The sequence below is a fragment of the Homo sapiens genome, chromosome 13 (assembly GCF_000001405.40).
Source record: "Homo sapiens chromosome 13, GRCh38.p14 Primary Assembly".
In the NCBI taxonomy this organism is placed as follows: Eukaryota; Metazoa; Chordata; class Mammalia; order Primates; family Hominidae; genus Homo; species Homo sapiens.
Genome location: NC_000013.11, coordinates 102,879,254 through 102,896,536, shown reverse-complemented (window position 1 = coordinate 102,896,536; position 17,283 = coordinate 102,879,254). Strand labels below are relative to the sequence as shown.

The 17,283-nt window shown below is 37.3% G+C and overlaps 1 pseudogene across 1 annotated transcript; it reads right to left on the bottom strand.

The window, feature by feature from the left end:
- Positions 1-503: 503 nt before the first annotated feature.
- On the bottom strand, positions 504-16,438 carry METTL21EP (methyltransferase like 21E, pseudogene; annotated as a pseudogene). The gene is made up of 4 exons (NR_026965.1): positions 16,325-16,438; positions 15,370-15,449; positions 3,837-5,201; positions 504-1,256 (listed from the first exon to the last, which is right to left on the bottom strand). The product of NR_026965.1 is annotated as a methyltransferase like 21E, pseudogene (transcript).
- Positions 16,439-17,283: the final 845 nt, after the last annotated feature.

The window sequence follows — 17,283 nt, the reverse complement described above, 5'->3', positions numbered from 1 at the left end:
TGTATTTATTTCTGTTTTTGTGATACAAAATAATGATAGTTGGCTTAAAACAAAACAATAACTTCTCCAATGTCTCAACAATTTTTGCTTGCATTCATTCACTTTTCATTTAGCAGAATAAAATGTCCTCATCCATGACCTCAAATCCACAAGCTTGACTGATTTCATCGGAGGTTACATCAGAGGTCTACTCTGCCAGGCAGAGATGACAGACCACCTATAAGCTGGCACTAATGAAAACCACACAAGTCGGAAATTTACCATTACATTATGTATCTGTCTGTTCAGATTTATTTGCAGATCCCACTGTAGTCAATTTCATTATTTCTAAAGAGAGAATCATCTACACTTATGTTTAAAAGAATAACAAGTTTCACTGAAGAGATATTATTAAAAACTATCATTTTGTGATTATACATTAAAAATAATAATTGCACCATTATTAAAATAATAATAAATGATGATATAAGGAAAAAGGAGAACAGACAACAACAGTGCAGTGTGACTTTGCCAAGAGCTTCTATTACCGCATGAGTAGAAGGCAGGCCCAGGGCCTGGGTGCTGATAGAGACAAACTAGGAACAAGTTACCCCAATCCTAGACTCACATGCAGTATCTGGAAAAATTACTGCCTGGGGTGAGGCAAATTTGGGAAACTATCTTCTATTCTTGTAGTAGGGGGTTTTGTGTGTGTGTGTGTGTGTGTGTGTGTGTGTGTGTGTGTGTGCGCGCGCATCTGTGTGTGTATTTCCCCTTGGGAAACTCAGTGGCACATAAAGTTATTCAGGGTTTTCTTTAAAGTGATTATTTGCTAAAAATTGCCTTAGCATTTCCACATCCTCATCGAGGATGTCATACGCTCCTCCGGTTTTTCTTCACAGCTTTATACAACTTAATATTCAGGCTAGGGAAACTGGAAATTTCCTCCAGGTCAAACAACTCCTTAAATCTATCTACAAATTTATTTTCCTTCTCCAACCTGAATTTCATGGCCCACAGGATGATGGTGGTTTCTTTGCACAGATGGTCAAAGGTAATGAGGAGCTCTTCCAAGAAAGGATGAGCGTAGACCACATCCGCTGCCAAAATATAGTCAAAATTATTAGAAGACCTGGGGAAGTTTGTATCTAAAGCTACTCCCCAGGAGAGTTCTTTAACCTGAGGCAAATGCTTGCTTTTCATTTTGGTGTTTCGGGAAATATTATATTGCAGGTTTCCAAGTAATTCGGGTAAATCTGTGGCCGTCACGTGAGCACCTGTGAAGCAAAGGACAGTAGAGAAAGTAACCCTCATGAGATAAGGTAGAACAATCAAAAGTTTCAAGCCAGGATGCACTTTGCAGTTCTGCACAATTCTTCATCCCCCCCTAAAAAAAGACTCATCAGTACCTCTACACAGAAAGGGAATCCCATTCAAATGGATGCAAAGCAGCTATATGCCTCTGCTTAAAGAAAAAAAAAAGAGAGAGAGAGAGACCCATGGTACTTTTGCGCACCATTGCATTTTTTATGTTCTCCTGGTTTTTGTTCTGGTATGTTTTGCTGTTACTATTGTTTTTGTTTGCTATTTATCTGCTACATACCAGGAGAAAAATAAGCACGAGAAAGAGAAAGTCAAAATATTTGGCACCCTCATTGGACCAATGAGAAGTCATTGATGGAAGAATAGGTACCTCCCTAAAAGAATTCTGAGCCTCGGTCATGTGAGACCAAATGAGTGTATGTAACATCAGACATCCTATAGTTGAACAGAAGTGCTCATGTGAGAAGTGGAGGGAAGAAAGAAGACAAGAAGACCTTTCAATGGCATTCACTGAAAAGTATTATGATATCCATGCTATGCCCAGGTTTTCAACTTGGCCCATCACAAGTATAAATCTTCCCACCAAAACATGCTAAAAACCTAGTCACAACGTGTGTATAGTGCTCATAAAGCTACCACTCATAGATGAAGATGTAAACAATTTCCAAGATAGAAGTGAATAGTGATGGGTTTTTGAGGAAGAAATATGGCAGGAGCAAATTTGTAGAAATTTGGTCACTAAAGTAAACTTTGAGCAGTAAAGCAAAGGCTAAAAATAATCTGCAAATAAATCTAAGATTGTCCAATTCTACAGCATCAGAAAAGCACAGACCAGGTGAAGAACAAGAAAGCAGAAATGGAAGAGAAGTCTAGCTCAGCTCAGACCAAATCAGAAGCTACTCCTCAGCTGCAATATCACAAGTCTCTTGGCATCAACTGTATTTTGTGAAAATATTAAAATGGGAGGGGAATATGCCTATCATTGGTACACTCACAGAGATATAAGCCTTTACATTCTACTATGGGTGGGTCGATCATTTTCAACAAATCTTTCTTAAATCTCAGAGTAAGGAATACACCTTTGCCCATATTGAATGCAAACTCTCCCTTATACTTAATATCTTTGTGCCTAGAGAGATAAACACTACCACTTTCAGAATACTGACTAAACAAAGTTTCTATCTTTTAATATTTGTTTCAAGTTAGGCAAGCGGACTCAAGGGACCAATTCTTTTTAATAAAACAAATGACTCCCCAAAGCACAAATTCTGCTCCTAAGTCAGGCTTTCAGGTATAAATTGAATAGTGACTCTGACTTACCCTTAATAAATGGAATAGTGACTTTGGAAAACAATATCAGGACACAGCAACTTTTAAAAAATATTATTTGGGAAGACTCCAAGAGTCTTATAAATCTCTAGTATTTGAAAGTTGTAAATTTCTAAATGTTCAATTCCTCTCAAAGTGGCAGGTGTACATTTCTGAAGATCAAGGAAATCAGGATGGATCTGGGTAGCACACATCAGAGAAAGAGCTAAACTAAGGCAATGAGATAGATAACAATAACAAAAAGACTGAACTGAAACAGGCTCTTTTAATGTTAAAAACTATCACATGCTCAGTTGGAAAAGATGCTGGTGAGAGAACTCAGGGTCACAATAAAAAAGAATGGAGATAGGCCAGGCGCAGTGGCTCATGCCTGTAATCCCAGCACTTTGGGAGGCCCAGGCGGGCGGATCACCTGTGCTCAGGGGTTCGAAACCAGCCTGGCCAACATGGCGAAACCCTGTCTCTACTAAAAATACAAAAAATTAGCTGGGCATGGTGGTGGGCATCTGTAGTCCCAGCTACTCGGGGAGGCTGAGGCAGGAGAACCACTTGAACCCAGGAGGCGGAGGTTTCAGTGAGCGGAGATCGCGCCACTGCACTCCAGCCTGGGCGACAGAGAAAAAAAAAAAAAAAAGAATTGAATGAACTGAGAAAACAAATTCAAGGACAAACACCTAAAAATAGAAGCAGACGTGTGATTTTTGTGTGATTTCTAATATTATCTCCCTATTCTGATACGTGCTTTTTCATAAAAGCATAGCACTTCAAAACTCAAAAGGAATCTACAGCTACATGGGAACACTGAAATGGCGCTAAAATCTAAAGTGCATCTGAATCAGCAGCAATAGAATCTGCCTCTGCCTGGTATTTCACATTTCTTCTCTTGCAACCAGAATGCTTCCATGCAACTCTTATTTAGAACATTTCATCTGAGGCTTGTGACAGTATTCCACAAGAAGAATTAACACAACTTAATGCAGAAAACTATGAAAGAGACCGGAATTAACACAACTTAATGCAGAAAACTATAAAAGAGACTGGTAAGGAGACTTTAAAATCTGTAGTTTCTAGATGAAGCCCATTCAAACAGTTAAGGAGTCACAGATAGGCACAGGTCATAGTACACTGGATAGTAAAACAACTAATGATATTTGATCATTAAATTCTCTGACACTCCCTCTATTCAATCAAAAATATCTGCTTACCAAGTAAACTTGCCACAATGGAGACTAGCCCTGTTCCAGCTCCAATTTCAATCACGTTTTTGTCAACCATATTATACTGCTTTGCATTTGTTTCCAGGAAATAGCATAGAACAAGGGCCTATGAAAGTTAGAAAAAAAAAAAAAAGGGACGCTTGGCAAGTAATAACAGAAAGTAAAATTAAACTTTATTGGACAAATATGCTGCTAATGTTATGCTATGTATGCGTGCTCATATGAGTACATGAGAGTACTCATGTGTGTACTTGTACATCACTCCAAAAAATATGAACAAAAGTGCATCCTCTGAGAGGTTCAACATTTCTGCTAGAAAAATTCCTTGGGGATTATTGAGAGGAAAAGAGAAATAACTAAAAATGTGGAGTTCAATTGCTTAGGTTTGATCATTTTTAAAGGAAGCAACTTCTGATAATACTAGTCATTTCCAAGTGGTGTGTGGGATTGGGGCAGGTGGGGTGGTGGGTCCATTACTCTTCATGGGACAGTTGGTAAAGGATTGAGGGTCTTTGAGGACATTCTACATGTGAGACTCATATAGATTTCAATGTAATTGTTTAACTCAAATGGAGCTGATAAAAGGGGAAATAAAAATGTTTACTGCTCTAAACTCTTATTTTAAAAACTGAAGAAGTAAACAACACCCTGTATTAATCCTACAAATTTCAATAAAGTCAGAAATAGAATTAATTGAGGCCCAGCGTGGTAGCTTATGCCTGTAATCCCAGCACCTTGGGAGGTGGAGGTGGATGGATTACTTGAGGCAAGGAGTTCAAAACCAGCCTGGCCAACGTGGTTGAAACCCCATTCCCACCAAAATTACAAAAATTAGCTTGGTGTGGTGTTGCATGCCTGTAGTCCCAGCTACTCAGGAGGCTGCAGCAGGGGAATCATTTAAACCCAGGAGGCAGAGGTTGCAGTGAGCTGAGATCAAGCCACAGCACTCCAGCCCGGGTGACAGAGCAAGACTCTGTCTCAAAAAAAAAGAAAAGAAAAGAAATAGAATTACAGAATTAATTGGGAGAAATAATTTCCTAGTCACATGATTTCTAAAACATAGTACTATTTGAGGTCACAAAGAAGGAATATGGAACCTGTTTTCTTCTTCCAAATAGAACATAATAATGAATAAAACCGGCTGGAAAAATAATTGGAATGTAACAAATTCTGTATGAAATTATACCGATGGCCAAACAACAGCACCATAACAATCCATGGCCTCAGTAATTCGAATCTCATGACCAATAAAATGAAAACTTTCCCAGGAAGTAGTTGTTATCAGAGTTGGAATAAAACATCTTGCCATGATCTCTGTGACCACCTGCTTGTCATCATAGGCTTCTCTGGTGTCTGAAAGGAAAAGAAAAAGGTAATGGTTGTATAAGTAAATCCATGAAAAGAGAAAAGAACTTGATGGAAATACAGCATTTCTGCTTAGTCTAAGGAGCTTTTGAATATTCAGTGACTTTAGGTGAGAAATAATAAGGTAAACTATTTGAAAATGACTCTCAATGTAAGCTAATATTTCCATTCATCAGGGTGGCAACATCTTTCTTATTTTCATGGGAGTTCAAATCACCATTATCCCCTTCTGCAATGCTACACACAACAAATAATAATTGATGTACTTTTTTAAAGCAATATATTTTAAGAGCCACCAATCAGTTCATATAGAATAAGAGAGAGATTGGTGATGGAATATAAGAACCCACCTCTTCATATTGGTGTCCTAGCGCAATTCTAGCTGTTCTGTGTCCCAGGCACAGTGCTGGGTGATGGAGTATAGTAGCTAGCCAAATAGACATGGTCCCTGCCCTTGGAAAAATTGGAAATCCATAGACACAAACATGTGGTATCTCAGGGCATACCTATAAAGAATTGTTGGATTGGAAGAAAGTGCTTTTCCACAGTACTCCCAAGGCTCTTGGCTTTGGTGCCCACCTGGATAGACATTTCTAATAAATGGTGTGTTCTCAGCTTTGCCTTGATGAACAGTTTTGTCAATGGTTCGACTAACTGATGACATTACAAGTATTATAAAATTTTCAGAATATATAAATGGGATGGGGACAACAAGTATAACAGAAAACTAAATGTGAAGGAAAATGTCTTCAGTTGTAAAAATGGATTGGTCTTAACAATGTGAAATTTAATAAAGATAAGTCTAAAGTCTGTATTCAGCCTGAGTTTAGCAGCACTGTGTAGGGGATGGGGACAGACAGATACATTTACTTGGCCACAAGCTCAATATGAGTCAAAAGTTTAATATGATCATCAAAAAATCGGTGCACCTAGCCCACATTAAAAATATAATTTCCAAAATCATGGAGGTAGAGGCTTTCTTTTACACCAGTCAGATTATACTTGTACATCCAGTTAGGGAAGGCCCACTTTAGAGGGACACTGAGAAACTGTAGCAACTGGGAGGTGAGAAATCTTGAAACTCGGCCTTATAAGGACAGTTTTGGGGAGTTCAACATGTTCAACAAAAAGAAGAAAAGACCTGAGTGAACACAAGAGTTTTCAAAATTTGAAGGACTAGAAAATAGAAGGTTGGGGTGCATGCATGTGTGTGTGTGTCTGTGTGTGTGTGTGTGTCCTGCTTAGAATACAAACAGAATCATGTACTCCTCAAAAGAACTCCAATTTAACCACATCCACAGGAAGGGCCCAGCCTACCACCCACCTCTACCACTACTGCAAACGTTGACCCTTGACAGAGATGCAGGGGAAACAAAGAAACAGAAATTTGGTATTTTTCAGCGAGAGCCATCTCTTCTAATATTTTTCACTGTACTTCACCTTAAACAACAGTGTGCATTCACATTCAGGAAGAGCTCTAAGAACCAAATAATATTGGAAACATGTTTTATTTGAACTTTAACTTCCATTTCACTATATGCACTTGCCTTGGTAAGATTGGGGATGCAGGGGGAGGGCAACATTTGCTGTGGAAGTTCTTTAGGGAAAAGTAGAGAACGTTAATTGCTTCCTTGACCTTTAACTGAATTTGTCCTCTTGGGCCTCCTTGCATACTACTTGTAAATGTAGCACTTCTATGACAAGTCACCTAAGGTACCAGGGATTAATAGATGTTAGAGTACACTAAGTCCCAGGAGCATCTTCGAAAGTTCCAGTCTTTGATATAAAAAGTTTGCCGGTGAATATTTACTGGTACAACCTGACATCTTTGACTTTGCATGTTCTTTTAAAGGTTAGTTGGCCAGATTAGTGCTCCTGTCCTAACAACTACAGAGGGATAACAAATGAATTCCTAGCTTTTGACTGCGTCCTTCTGAATAGAGTTATTTCATTCTAAGAATGACCCCATCTTTACCTTCATATGGAAATGAGATTTAAAAATTTATGAATATATTATAATGAAAATTACTTACACTCCTAAAACAAAGGACCTTCAAAGAGATTTCACGAAATGAATATAACCACTACTAATTGCATACACACTTTAAAAAGAACACAACTATATCACTCATAAATGGTAATGCAAAATTAGTTATACACCTACGATGATCATGTATCACAGAAAACATTATCAGGTTGAATAAAATTTAATTGATAATGCTTTATATTAATATTCTCTTTTGCATTTAAATATTATATGAATACTACAAGCATCCAACAAGAAATAACCTTCATAAATTAGCATAATTTATAGCATGAAACCCAAATAAACTAAACTTGGCTGCCTAAAATAATTTGTCTAAAGGGGGATATGCTCTTTGTAAGTATCATGCTGATAAAACCATAAAAATTATTTTAGAGGAATGAGGATTAAAATGAAATTTCTTTATGACACGGAAAAAAATAATAATTTGTCTAAAAGTGTAAAATTTTAAAAGCAAACATATACACATAAACAGACAATTATTTCCATCTTAAAACATTGGTTGCTGTTTTCCAGTGTGAACTTCTATTTAAAGATTTTGAGGTAATAGTTTGTTTTTTTGTTGTTTTGTTTTTTGAGGGTTTTGTTTTTTTTGTTTGTTTTGTTTTGTTTTGACAGAGTCTGGCTCTGTCACCCAGGCTGAAGTGCAGTGGCACAATCCGGGCTCACTGCAACCTCCGCCTCCTGGGTTCAAGCGATTCTCGTGCCTCAGCCTCCTGAGTGGCTGAGTCTACAGCCATGCGCCACCACGCCTGGCTAATTTTTGTATTTTTTTAGTAAAGACGGGGTTTCACCATGTTGCCCAGGCTGATCTCCAACTCCTGAGCTCAACTGATTCACCCACCTCAGCCTCCCAAAGTGCTGGGATTACAGATGTGAGCCACTGCGCCTGGCCTTGAGGTGATAGTTTTAATGGTAATTATTTATGTAAATCAAGACATGTTTAATATTAAGCTCCAACAATAACACCACCCATTTCAAGGTTGATAATAAGAATCTCTAAACAAGAATCTAATGGAAAGAGCTGCCCTATTATAAAGGCATGCCTACAGCAGCCTTGTTGTAACAAAAAGGAAAAAATCTATGCTCCAAATAATTTACAAAGAACATGCCCCTTAAACTGCATGCTTATTTAGTTGTTGAATATGAGTCGAATATTGAGAAGATTGGTGAATTAGTAGATAGTCTGGTTTTTAAGATTTGAAGAGCAATTCCTACAAAAATTAATAGCATTGCCATACAATGGAATTTTAATATACATTTCTGAAGAATAATTTTTCCACATATATTCTTTCCTCATTATCTAGCACTTAGCCCCCAGGACAAATAACAAAAACCAGATAATATTACACAAGATTCTGTACATCGGCTTCCCTATATGAAAAGCAGCAAACTTCTGATAACTGTACCTTCAGATAAAAGCTATCTACTATAGTTTTAGAACATTATTTTATTGGTGAATTTAATATTAAAACACAAATATTAAAATAGATTGTAAATAAAACATTGTCAAGACAGAGTATTACAATTACGTTGCTATCTTGGGCTTATCTATTTTAATGCTTTTGATACAAAAAAAGTCTTAACACCATTTTCCTGCTATTCATTCTTTGCTGATAGTAAATAAAATCTACCAGGTGCTCTTGTTCTCCTCAGAATTAAAGGGATTTCAAGTATAAAGTGAAAAGTAGCAAGATTCTGCCACATTATGATGACGATTTTAAGAGGAAAATTCAACAGTGAATTGACTTCAATGCTGGATTACAACAAGCCTTCAAAAATAGAGGCTTTGTCTATATTCTTCTCTTCTATACTTTTAAGGTCAATAATAGCAATAATAAGTGGAAGGATCAGATAACAGAAGTGCATCCCCCACCCAAAAAAACAAAAAAAAAACAAAAACAAAAAACAACAACAACAACAACTCTTTAACAGCTGTGACAAGTGAATTCAAGCTTCCATTTGAGGGCTGTCACGAAAACCTGTCAGCAAAATTTAAAGTAAAATCCCCTCTACTAAATGAAAGAAACTGTCATTCAAATGAATCTTCTATTCAAAGCTGAATGTCATGTGCTTCTTAGAAATGCCTACAGATTAAAAAAAAGAAGTTAAAGATATTTTCAGATTAGTAAATAGTCACAGGCTTAACTTAAAAGATAGAATTCTGAAAACCTCAGCAATGCCAAGGTCTTGGACCCTTATGTTGAAACCAATTCCTGAGAAGATTCTACAGATATTCTCTGTCTGCTGGTCTTCTTAGTTTCAAGAATGTACAGAGGTTGTAACTCTAATCAAGTAGACCAAACAATGCTACACTTTGTGTTTACAAAAGAAAGAAAATGCACCTTTTATTGAGGTTGCTCAGGATGCAAGTGGAAAAATAAAGAACCTAAATTAGTTGTACTACAAGTTTGCTACTGAGATCACGGAAGGGGCAGACAACTGAACAAATGTCAATACCTTGATAAATGCTATAAAACAGGTCTTTCTAAAATGCTATGGGAAGCACCACTGGTTGGTTGAATCAGGAGAAGCATCATAAAAGAGGAGATATTTAAGCCCAGGAGCTGTTAGAAGATCTATGGAGCGAGGGTACAAGGCTAGAGGTTTGGGCCAGAATCCCAAAAGATAGTTTCTGATGCCATAATCCCCAGTGTTGAATCCTGAAAGATCAAAACCCCAAATACATAATTCTGATAAAAATAATTCTAAAAGTTCTTTAAAACATATTTACATTTTTAAAAGAGTTTAGAAACATAAAAACACAACAGAACACTTTGTGGGCTACTTTATACAATAAAATTGTATATACATAATTTTGCAATGATAAGCACTCAGGTGTGCTACCCACAGTTACACAGGCATAACAGTTATGAGCAGAGAAATTGTATTCATAAAGAAATCACTTATATAGTTTGGTCACTTGAAATATCCTGATGAACAACCTAAGTCTTCTGATGAAACAGATCCAAACCTACAGTGGAGCTGAATGCAGTGGCTCACGCCTGTAGTCCCCGCTACTCAGGAAGCTGAGGTGGAAGGATCGTTAGAGCCCAGCCTGGGCAACATAGTGAGACGCCCCTTGCTAAAAAAATTAAAATTAAATACCAACAATGGGTCACCACCACATATACAGTCATATACAGTTGCCTAAAGAGCTGAGATATTGAAAAATGTTATCTTTCACAAATGCAGATGCAGAAAAAGGATATCCCTTTATTTATTGAGGAAGTTTTAAGGTTTTTACATATATATGCACAATGCTTACACACAAGGTCAGTGTTATTAAAATGCACTTCCATGGAGTCAATTTTGCAAAAAACAAAAAGTGCATAAAACAAATTAGAACTCTCTAAAAGCTCATACAATTTATGCCTCTAGTTTTGGAAATGTAAAGATGAAACACGTAGCATACCATAGTGAGTTGTAAAAAATAATGCTGATGATTTAAAATGGTGAGGAAAAAAACTTTAAAAAAGGAAAAAGAAAAACAAAACCTTCCCAAAGAAACTAAAAAGAAAATTCAACATATGAAAAAGCGCATTACAGGGATAAATTATGGGCAACTGCACGGAGGTAGCCCATAAGAGCTGGCCGACTTCCACAATCATTAACTGTATTCTGAAGTCTTGCGTGGAGATGAGTAACTGTTTCTTTTCTTTTAGGACATGGCTCTTCTTGAAGAATACATTCACATTGATTTTCTACATGATGCTGCTCTTTTTGAAATTCTAGTTTTATTCAATACACACTGACATGAGCATTTTCTATTAAATTTCCTATCTCTGTGTCATGCTTCTGTGTTGTTTTGGGTACATGGAAATCCTTTGCTCATGCACTCATATACAGACCACAGATTTGGCTGAAACAATACTGGTGATCGAACAGCAACATCATTGTGTGCTTTCTTATCCTACCATGCACATAGTTATTTTAGAGTCAGTAACTTTGCTGGCTTCATCAGGCAAATTCAGCTTTAACTCATTAAGACCTCCTAGAATTTCATCAGCTAGAAGGAATGCCAATGCAGACAAATAATGCGTTATAAACTGAAGTTTTCCATGTTACTATATTCTACAGGCAATCCATTCATCTGAATTTTCCGGCAAATGTATTGGGCTGAATGGAAAAAGAAACTGTTGCTAACACCTTGAAATCCACCTTTAGAAGTTTTGATGGCACCTAATTCCAAATCTATCATTATGGTTTGGGAATTCAATTAGCTGTAAGGGCATTTGTTCTTTGGGGATTTCAACATTCAGGATCATGGCATTTTGGATTGTGTCTTTAGGGATTATAATGAATATTACACAAGGTGCATGGAGGGGAACTATAGAAAATAAGCCTGAAGAAGTAGGTTGGGATTAAATTTATGTGCAACATTGACCTTTGTTCTATAAGGTGAGGAGGAGCTAATAAAGATTATTAGAACAGGAATTGACATGATCAGATTTGATATTTAAGAACTACATCTGACAGCAGGAGCTGAAGAACTGGTGACCTTACAAGCTAATTAGAAGATTATTGGAACAGTCTAGATGAAAAATGACAAGAGTCTAAATGAAGGCCTTGGGTCAAGGAGCCAAGTATGAACGTGTGTGCTTTCAAAGTGGTGGTATGCCTCCCCTAGGGGTGGACAATTGACATTCAAACTTGACGTTCAAATCTGAGTTTTGAAGACATCTGAAGTAGACTGGTATATTCAAGAGTTATTTTTATTCAACATGTAGAAAATTTATTAGTCTTATCTGGAAGATAATTATTCATGTTACTTGTAAAATGTTTAAAATGTGTTAATAAATTATTCTCACTTTAGTAATTATATGTGCTATAGTACTCCAACTAGTATATTAAATATATTGCCTCAGACTGTAGTTTGATAGGTTTCTTAAAACAGTGGTAGAATTACATAAATTTCCATATATATTAATGCAATACTGTTTATAAAAACCATATTACCCATTAATCCAATTCTGCAAAGATTTATGAAGATGCTCCTGAAAATTTTTAATGTGATGCCTTGAGGAGAACATTATATTAGGTCCTGAAGGGAGTCAACTGACTTATGATCAGAAATACAAGATCATCACTCATGAGCAAATTTAAGTCAGCCAATACGGTTATGTTATAGCTAATTCATTCATTCATTCATTCACTCACTTATTAAGTACCTGGGCACTATGAATTAGAAGGCAGACCAAGTGCTATATAAGAGAGGTTCAGTAAAAGTGCTATAACAGAGACTTCAGTAGGCAATGCAAAAATGGAAAGTTCCACCTCTCAGAGAGCTCAGGAAAGAATTATCTGAGCCTTCCTAATTATGAGTTTGTCAAATAGGAGAAGGGAAGACCTGCCATATACAGGAAATGACATGTGCAAAAGCCCACTGGCAAAAAGTCTCCTGACCAATTTTGGAAACCCTGAGAACCAGAATATAGGATAAATGAGGATAGTAGCACAAGGTAAAACACATTACACCATACTAAGAAGCCTTGATTTTATCCTGTAAGAAATAATGAGGCACTGAAGAATTTCAAGCAGAAGACAAATGTGACAAGATTTGGATTTTTAAAAGATCATGCAGTGCAGGTTACAGTGTGGGAAAAGAACTAGAGAGGGTAAAGAAAGGGAGTTGGCCCAGAGCGAGACAGCCAATTAGAAGGTGGTTAACAGCAGTCAGGAGCAGAGATAATGAAGAATCAAGGTAAGTGATGGTGGAAATGGAACAAGGCGTAGGGAAACATATCAGGAATGTAAAATCAATGAGATGTAATGATGAAGGGTGTGAAGGAAAGGGAGAAAATCAGGATGATTCCAGGTTTCTGGGTAGCCTGGGGAGTGATGTTGCCATTGAGTGAGATCGAAAATATAGGTGGAAGGGCAAACCTGTAAAGGAAAATTATTTTAAATACATATTACCCTGGTGTGCCACTCAGATTAAGAGAACCTGCCACAAGGAGCAGAGTTGCCCAACACTGCCCATTGCTGCACCTGTGGCTCCTGGGAGACCATGTTCCTCCTGAGGCTGCCTACTCAAGCCAGCCAGTTCCTGTTCCATATAGGACACTCCTCTAGTGGGCAACTCCTGCTCAGGGATTTTCATCAGCCCACCTGAGACTGTCTCAGAATTGTGTTGCAATTGGAGACTCTTCCCATCCAATCTGTCTTCTGTCTCCTCTCACGGGCACTGGACCCATGTTGGGCTCTGAAGGCTCCCCTAGCCTACTTCTGTTTTCTTCCTTATCCTCCACAAACATTTCCCCCAGTAAATCCCTTACATGCTTAGCCCCATTTTGGCATCTATGTCTTGAAGGCCCTAAACTGACAAGAGGTAGTAAGTAGGATGTCAAGTAAGCAGCTGACGTGACAGACTCGAGGGTCATTGAGAGCCAGAATCACTGAGCCTTGGGCAAGGATGAATCTGCCCCAAGGCTGCAGGTCCTCCGGTGACCCTACTATTCTATAACAGATTGCTACGTGTACTAACAGCTGGAGAGAGGCTGCTGGCATGAGGCAGGCAACATAGGATATTTAGAATAGTTAATGTGGGTAAGGTTTTAGACACCTTAGATTACAATATAGCCTTAGAAACACATACAGAAGAATTTTTTAGCACCCACCATAGCCCTAATTTTAATCTGTGTATAAATAAGTGACATCCTATAGTTCTTGGATCTTCATGCCAGTGTTGAAATATGAGCACTGAGCTATGGGTTTGCTCCATCCTTTCCAAGCACAGGATTCTAAGTATAAAAGAGGGCAGGAAAAGTCAGTATCCTTCAGTACTTGAGAACTGAGTGTTCCTCTACTTGGTGATGGCTTTCCAACTAAATGCCACCTGATCTGCTCCAAGGGCACATCCTTAATTCCCTTAGCTCTGTGTGTGTGAACACATTTTTAAAGCTTCATTTGGCTATATAGATGATTACAGAGTGTGTTTGTTTGTGTTGTAAAACATTGTAATGCTAGTTCCGTCTCAACCTTACCTTGAACTTCTTCCACTTCCTTTGTAATTTGCCAAATTATCTTCTACACAGTTGAAACCAAGAATTGTTACTAATGGTAATGATAATGATATAATTTTATTCATAAACCATACAGAAATTGCGTCTTCATTCAAATCATCTAAATGGCTGGGTTCTCTAAGTGATCGACTTAAATGGTTAGGTTTGCAAGAATCGCTTGGTAAAACTATTTGTGTTTAAGCCAGGTAGGCTGCCAACACTGGGCATACACCCAGCTTTCTTGGCCTAAAGATGTGTTCTCCTAGGTAGAAGCCACCTGGAATGGCCAAAAACAGAAAAACCAGAACTATAGTGTTCAGAAAACATCTACAGTGTGTGCAGATAAGGAGAGAACAAAAGAAATCAAGATATTTAGATTTGTATTACAACTGCTCTACAAAAATATGGTAATTTTTCTAGTCTGTCAAGAGTGTATGTCTGTACTTTTGATCTCAAGACAATGGGGACAGTTATATTACATAACCCATGCAAAGTCACGCTTGATACTTAAGACTATATAAAAATGATGGTTCAATTTCAAATAACCACACTGATAGTAGAATTCAAACTTAATCTCTTTACATCCAGAGGTCAAATTACATTATGTATTTGCCTCTAATAAATAGTTAGAGGAACCATAAACTCAGGCTACAGATGTCTGTATAGCCTAAATTCACCTTTCATCCAACCACCAGTAAAAACTTATAGTTTTCACATAAAACTATTTTTATCTTTCTTGCAAGCTTCTTATCTGAAATAAAATTTGCTTAGAAATCACATCATACATTTAGTGTACAGCACTTGAGAAAAAAATGTATTCCTTATTTGAAGATCAAAAACCCTGTACATGCTTAGTAAGTCTATATATTTAATTTAATCTGTCAAAAGTATCTTTAACATATCATCAAGATCATGGTATAGTAATAGACTTAAACATGATTCAAGATGTTTGCAGGCTCACAAATATAAACCAAGACATAATATGCCATTGATAAAAGTGTCAGCTCCATTTAAGACATTAATGAATACTACAAAGGTGACACTTTATATTCTATTAGTTATTTGTCTTCTTAGAATTGGTAAGCTACATAAACATAAAATGACTTACCTTCTTGAGCTTCTGAATCCATCAAGTAATGAAATGATGGTAGGTGATATATTGATGTTTTCTTCATTATTTCTTGAAAACTAGATAGATAATACATTAAAATATCAAATGGTAATAATTCAAAATATGTATGGAGTGCTTTTATAGTTTCTTAATAAAGCTTAACTTCAAATACAGCAGACAAAATTATATTAAAATATCATATATTAACGAAGCGTGACTTAAGAAAGACCATCTAAACACTATCTAGAACAAATTAAAATCAGAACAAAAGCTTCTGAGTCAGAAATTTTAAAAAGCTACTACAGAAAGAAAACATATTCTTCACCAGAGACTACCTCAGTTGTAACAAAGAAAGGCATCATCTTCATATTGACTAGTAAGACTGCAATCCTAAAATTTAAGAGGCGATTAAAACATTGAAAGTTCACTTGTTACCATCAATGCATCATTAGCACCTATGCAATGTCAAACAGCCTCATTGCCAGATAATCTTTTGAGCAGCGTCTACCTTAAGGAGTCCATACCATCACAGCCGATATATTTAAAACTGAAGAAACTATTTATGCCTCTTGAATAGAGCAGATTATCTGAATAAATTTAACAGTTATTCAAACTTTAGAAAATAACGATTTGATATTTTACTTCTCAATCTGGGGTAAAATAACAATTGCAGTACCATGAATTAATATAGCACTCCTTTCTTCCGAGAATCCCAAAGCACATTTTACAGCCACCACATTTTCTTTTACAGCATACTTCAGCAAGTTAGAAGACATTATTTTCCCTACAGTTTGCAAATCAGGAAAACCAAGGTTAAATTATGTCATTGAGGCTACACAGCTAAAACGATAGCAAAAGTGGTCACATGTTTTGCTCCCAATTTAGATCTCTTCCATTAAAGAAAGACATGTCTGCCTTAAGGCTGATATTTAAATGGAAAGCCTGGACATACCTAAAGGAGTTAGCTGAGTTTCTAGAAGGTTAAAATGTATCATCCACAATTTTTGTTTTTGCTGCTGGGACCTCTGGTAGTGACTGAAAGGCTAGCATCGCAGCACAGTTTACTACTATACACACTCGCTACCACTGGTAACGAGTCCAGGCAGAAGGGATTAGGATTCTGACAGCTGCAGCTCCCACGCCTCTGGTTATACAGCAGTGAGACGGCAATGCCCGTAACTAAGGGGGCAGAAGGCTAGGAATATCCCACGAGTGTCTCGTGAACAGAGCTAAAGGTGAATACAACCCACTCCCGGAAGTGAGTGAAGACTATTTGGAGGAAGTGATCCAGCTTTTAACTTGGATGCCAAGAGTTATTCTAAGACTCCGTGGCTATGACATTCTAGGAAATGAACGCTACATATTTTTCATGTCACCTATCTGCATGGGAACACTGTCTTTAGACTCCAACAACCATACTAGAATGTCTGTAGCATTGCTCTGCACCCAGAAATCAAACTACCATGATTCCTTTTTATTCAGACTGAATGGGCAGGCTCCGAACATAGATCCATCTGTGCACCTGCCCAAGTGCATGTATGTGTGCCTCTCAGAGGACATACACATTTCCCATGCCACTGGAAAGATCCCTGATAGAAAGTTACAGAGTTAAGATAAAGCAATATTGGAAAGTTAAACTTAGGAGTGTGACTACAGGTCCATAATGTATACACAGATGAATCGAGGTCACTTTAATGTATTGGAAAGGGCTAGGAGTTGGGAAGCCTGATTTTAGTTATTCCTGCCTATAATTAGATTGTGATTTTAAGCCATTTACTTAGTATGTTTCTTGGTTTCATCATCTATAGAACAAGTATATATCGGCAGGGTGCCTTAGCCTTTGGGAGACCAAGGCAGGAGGACCACTCAGCCCAGGAAATGGAGGCTGCAGTGAGCCGTGGTCACACCACC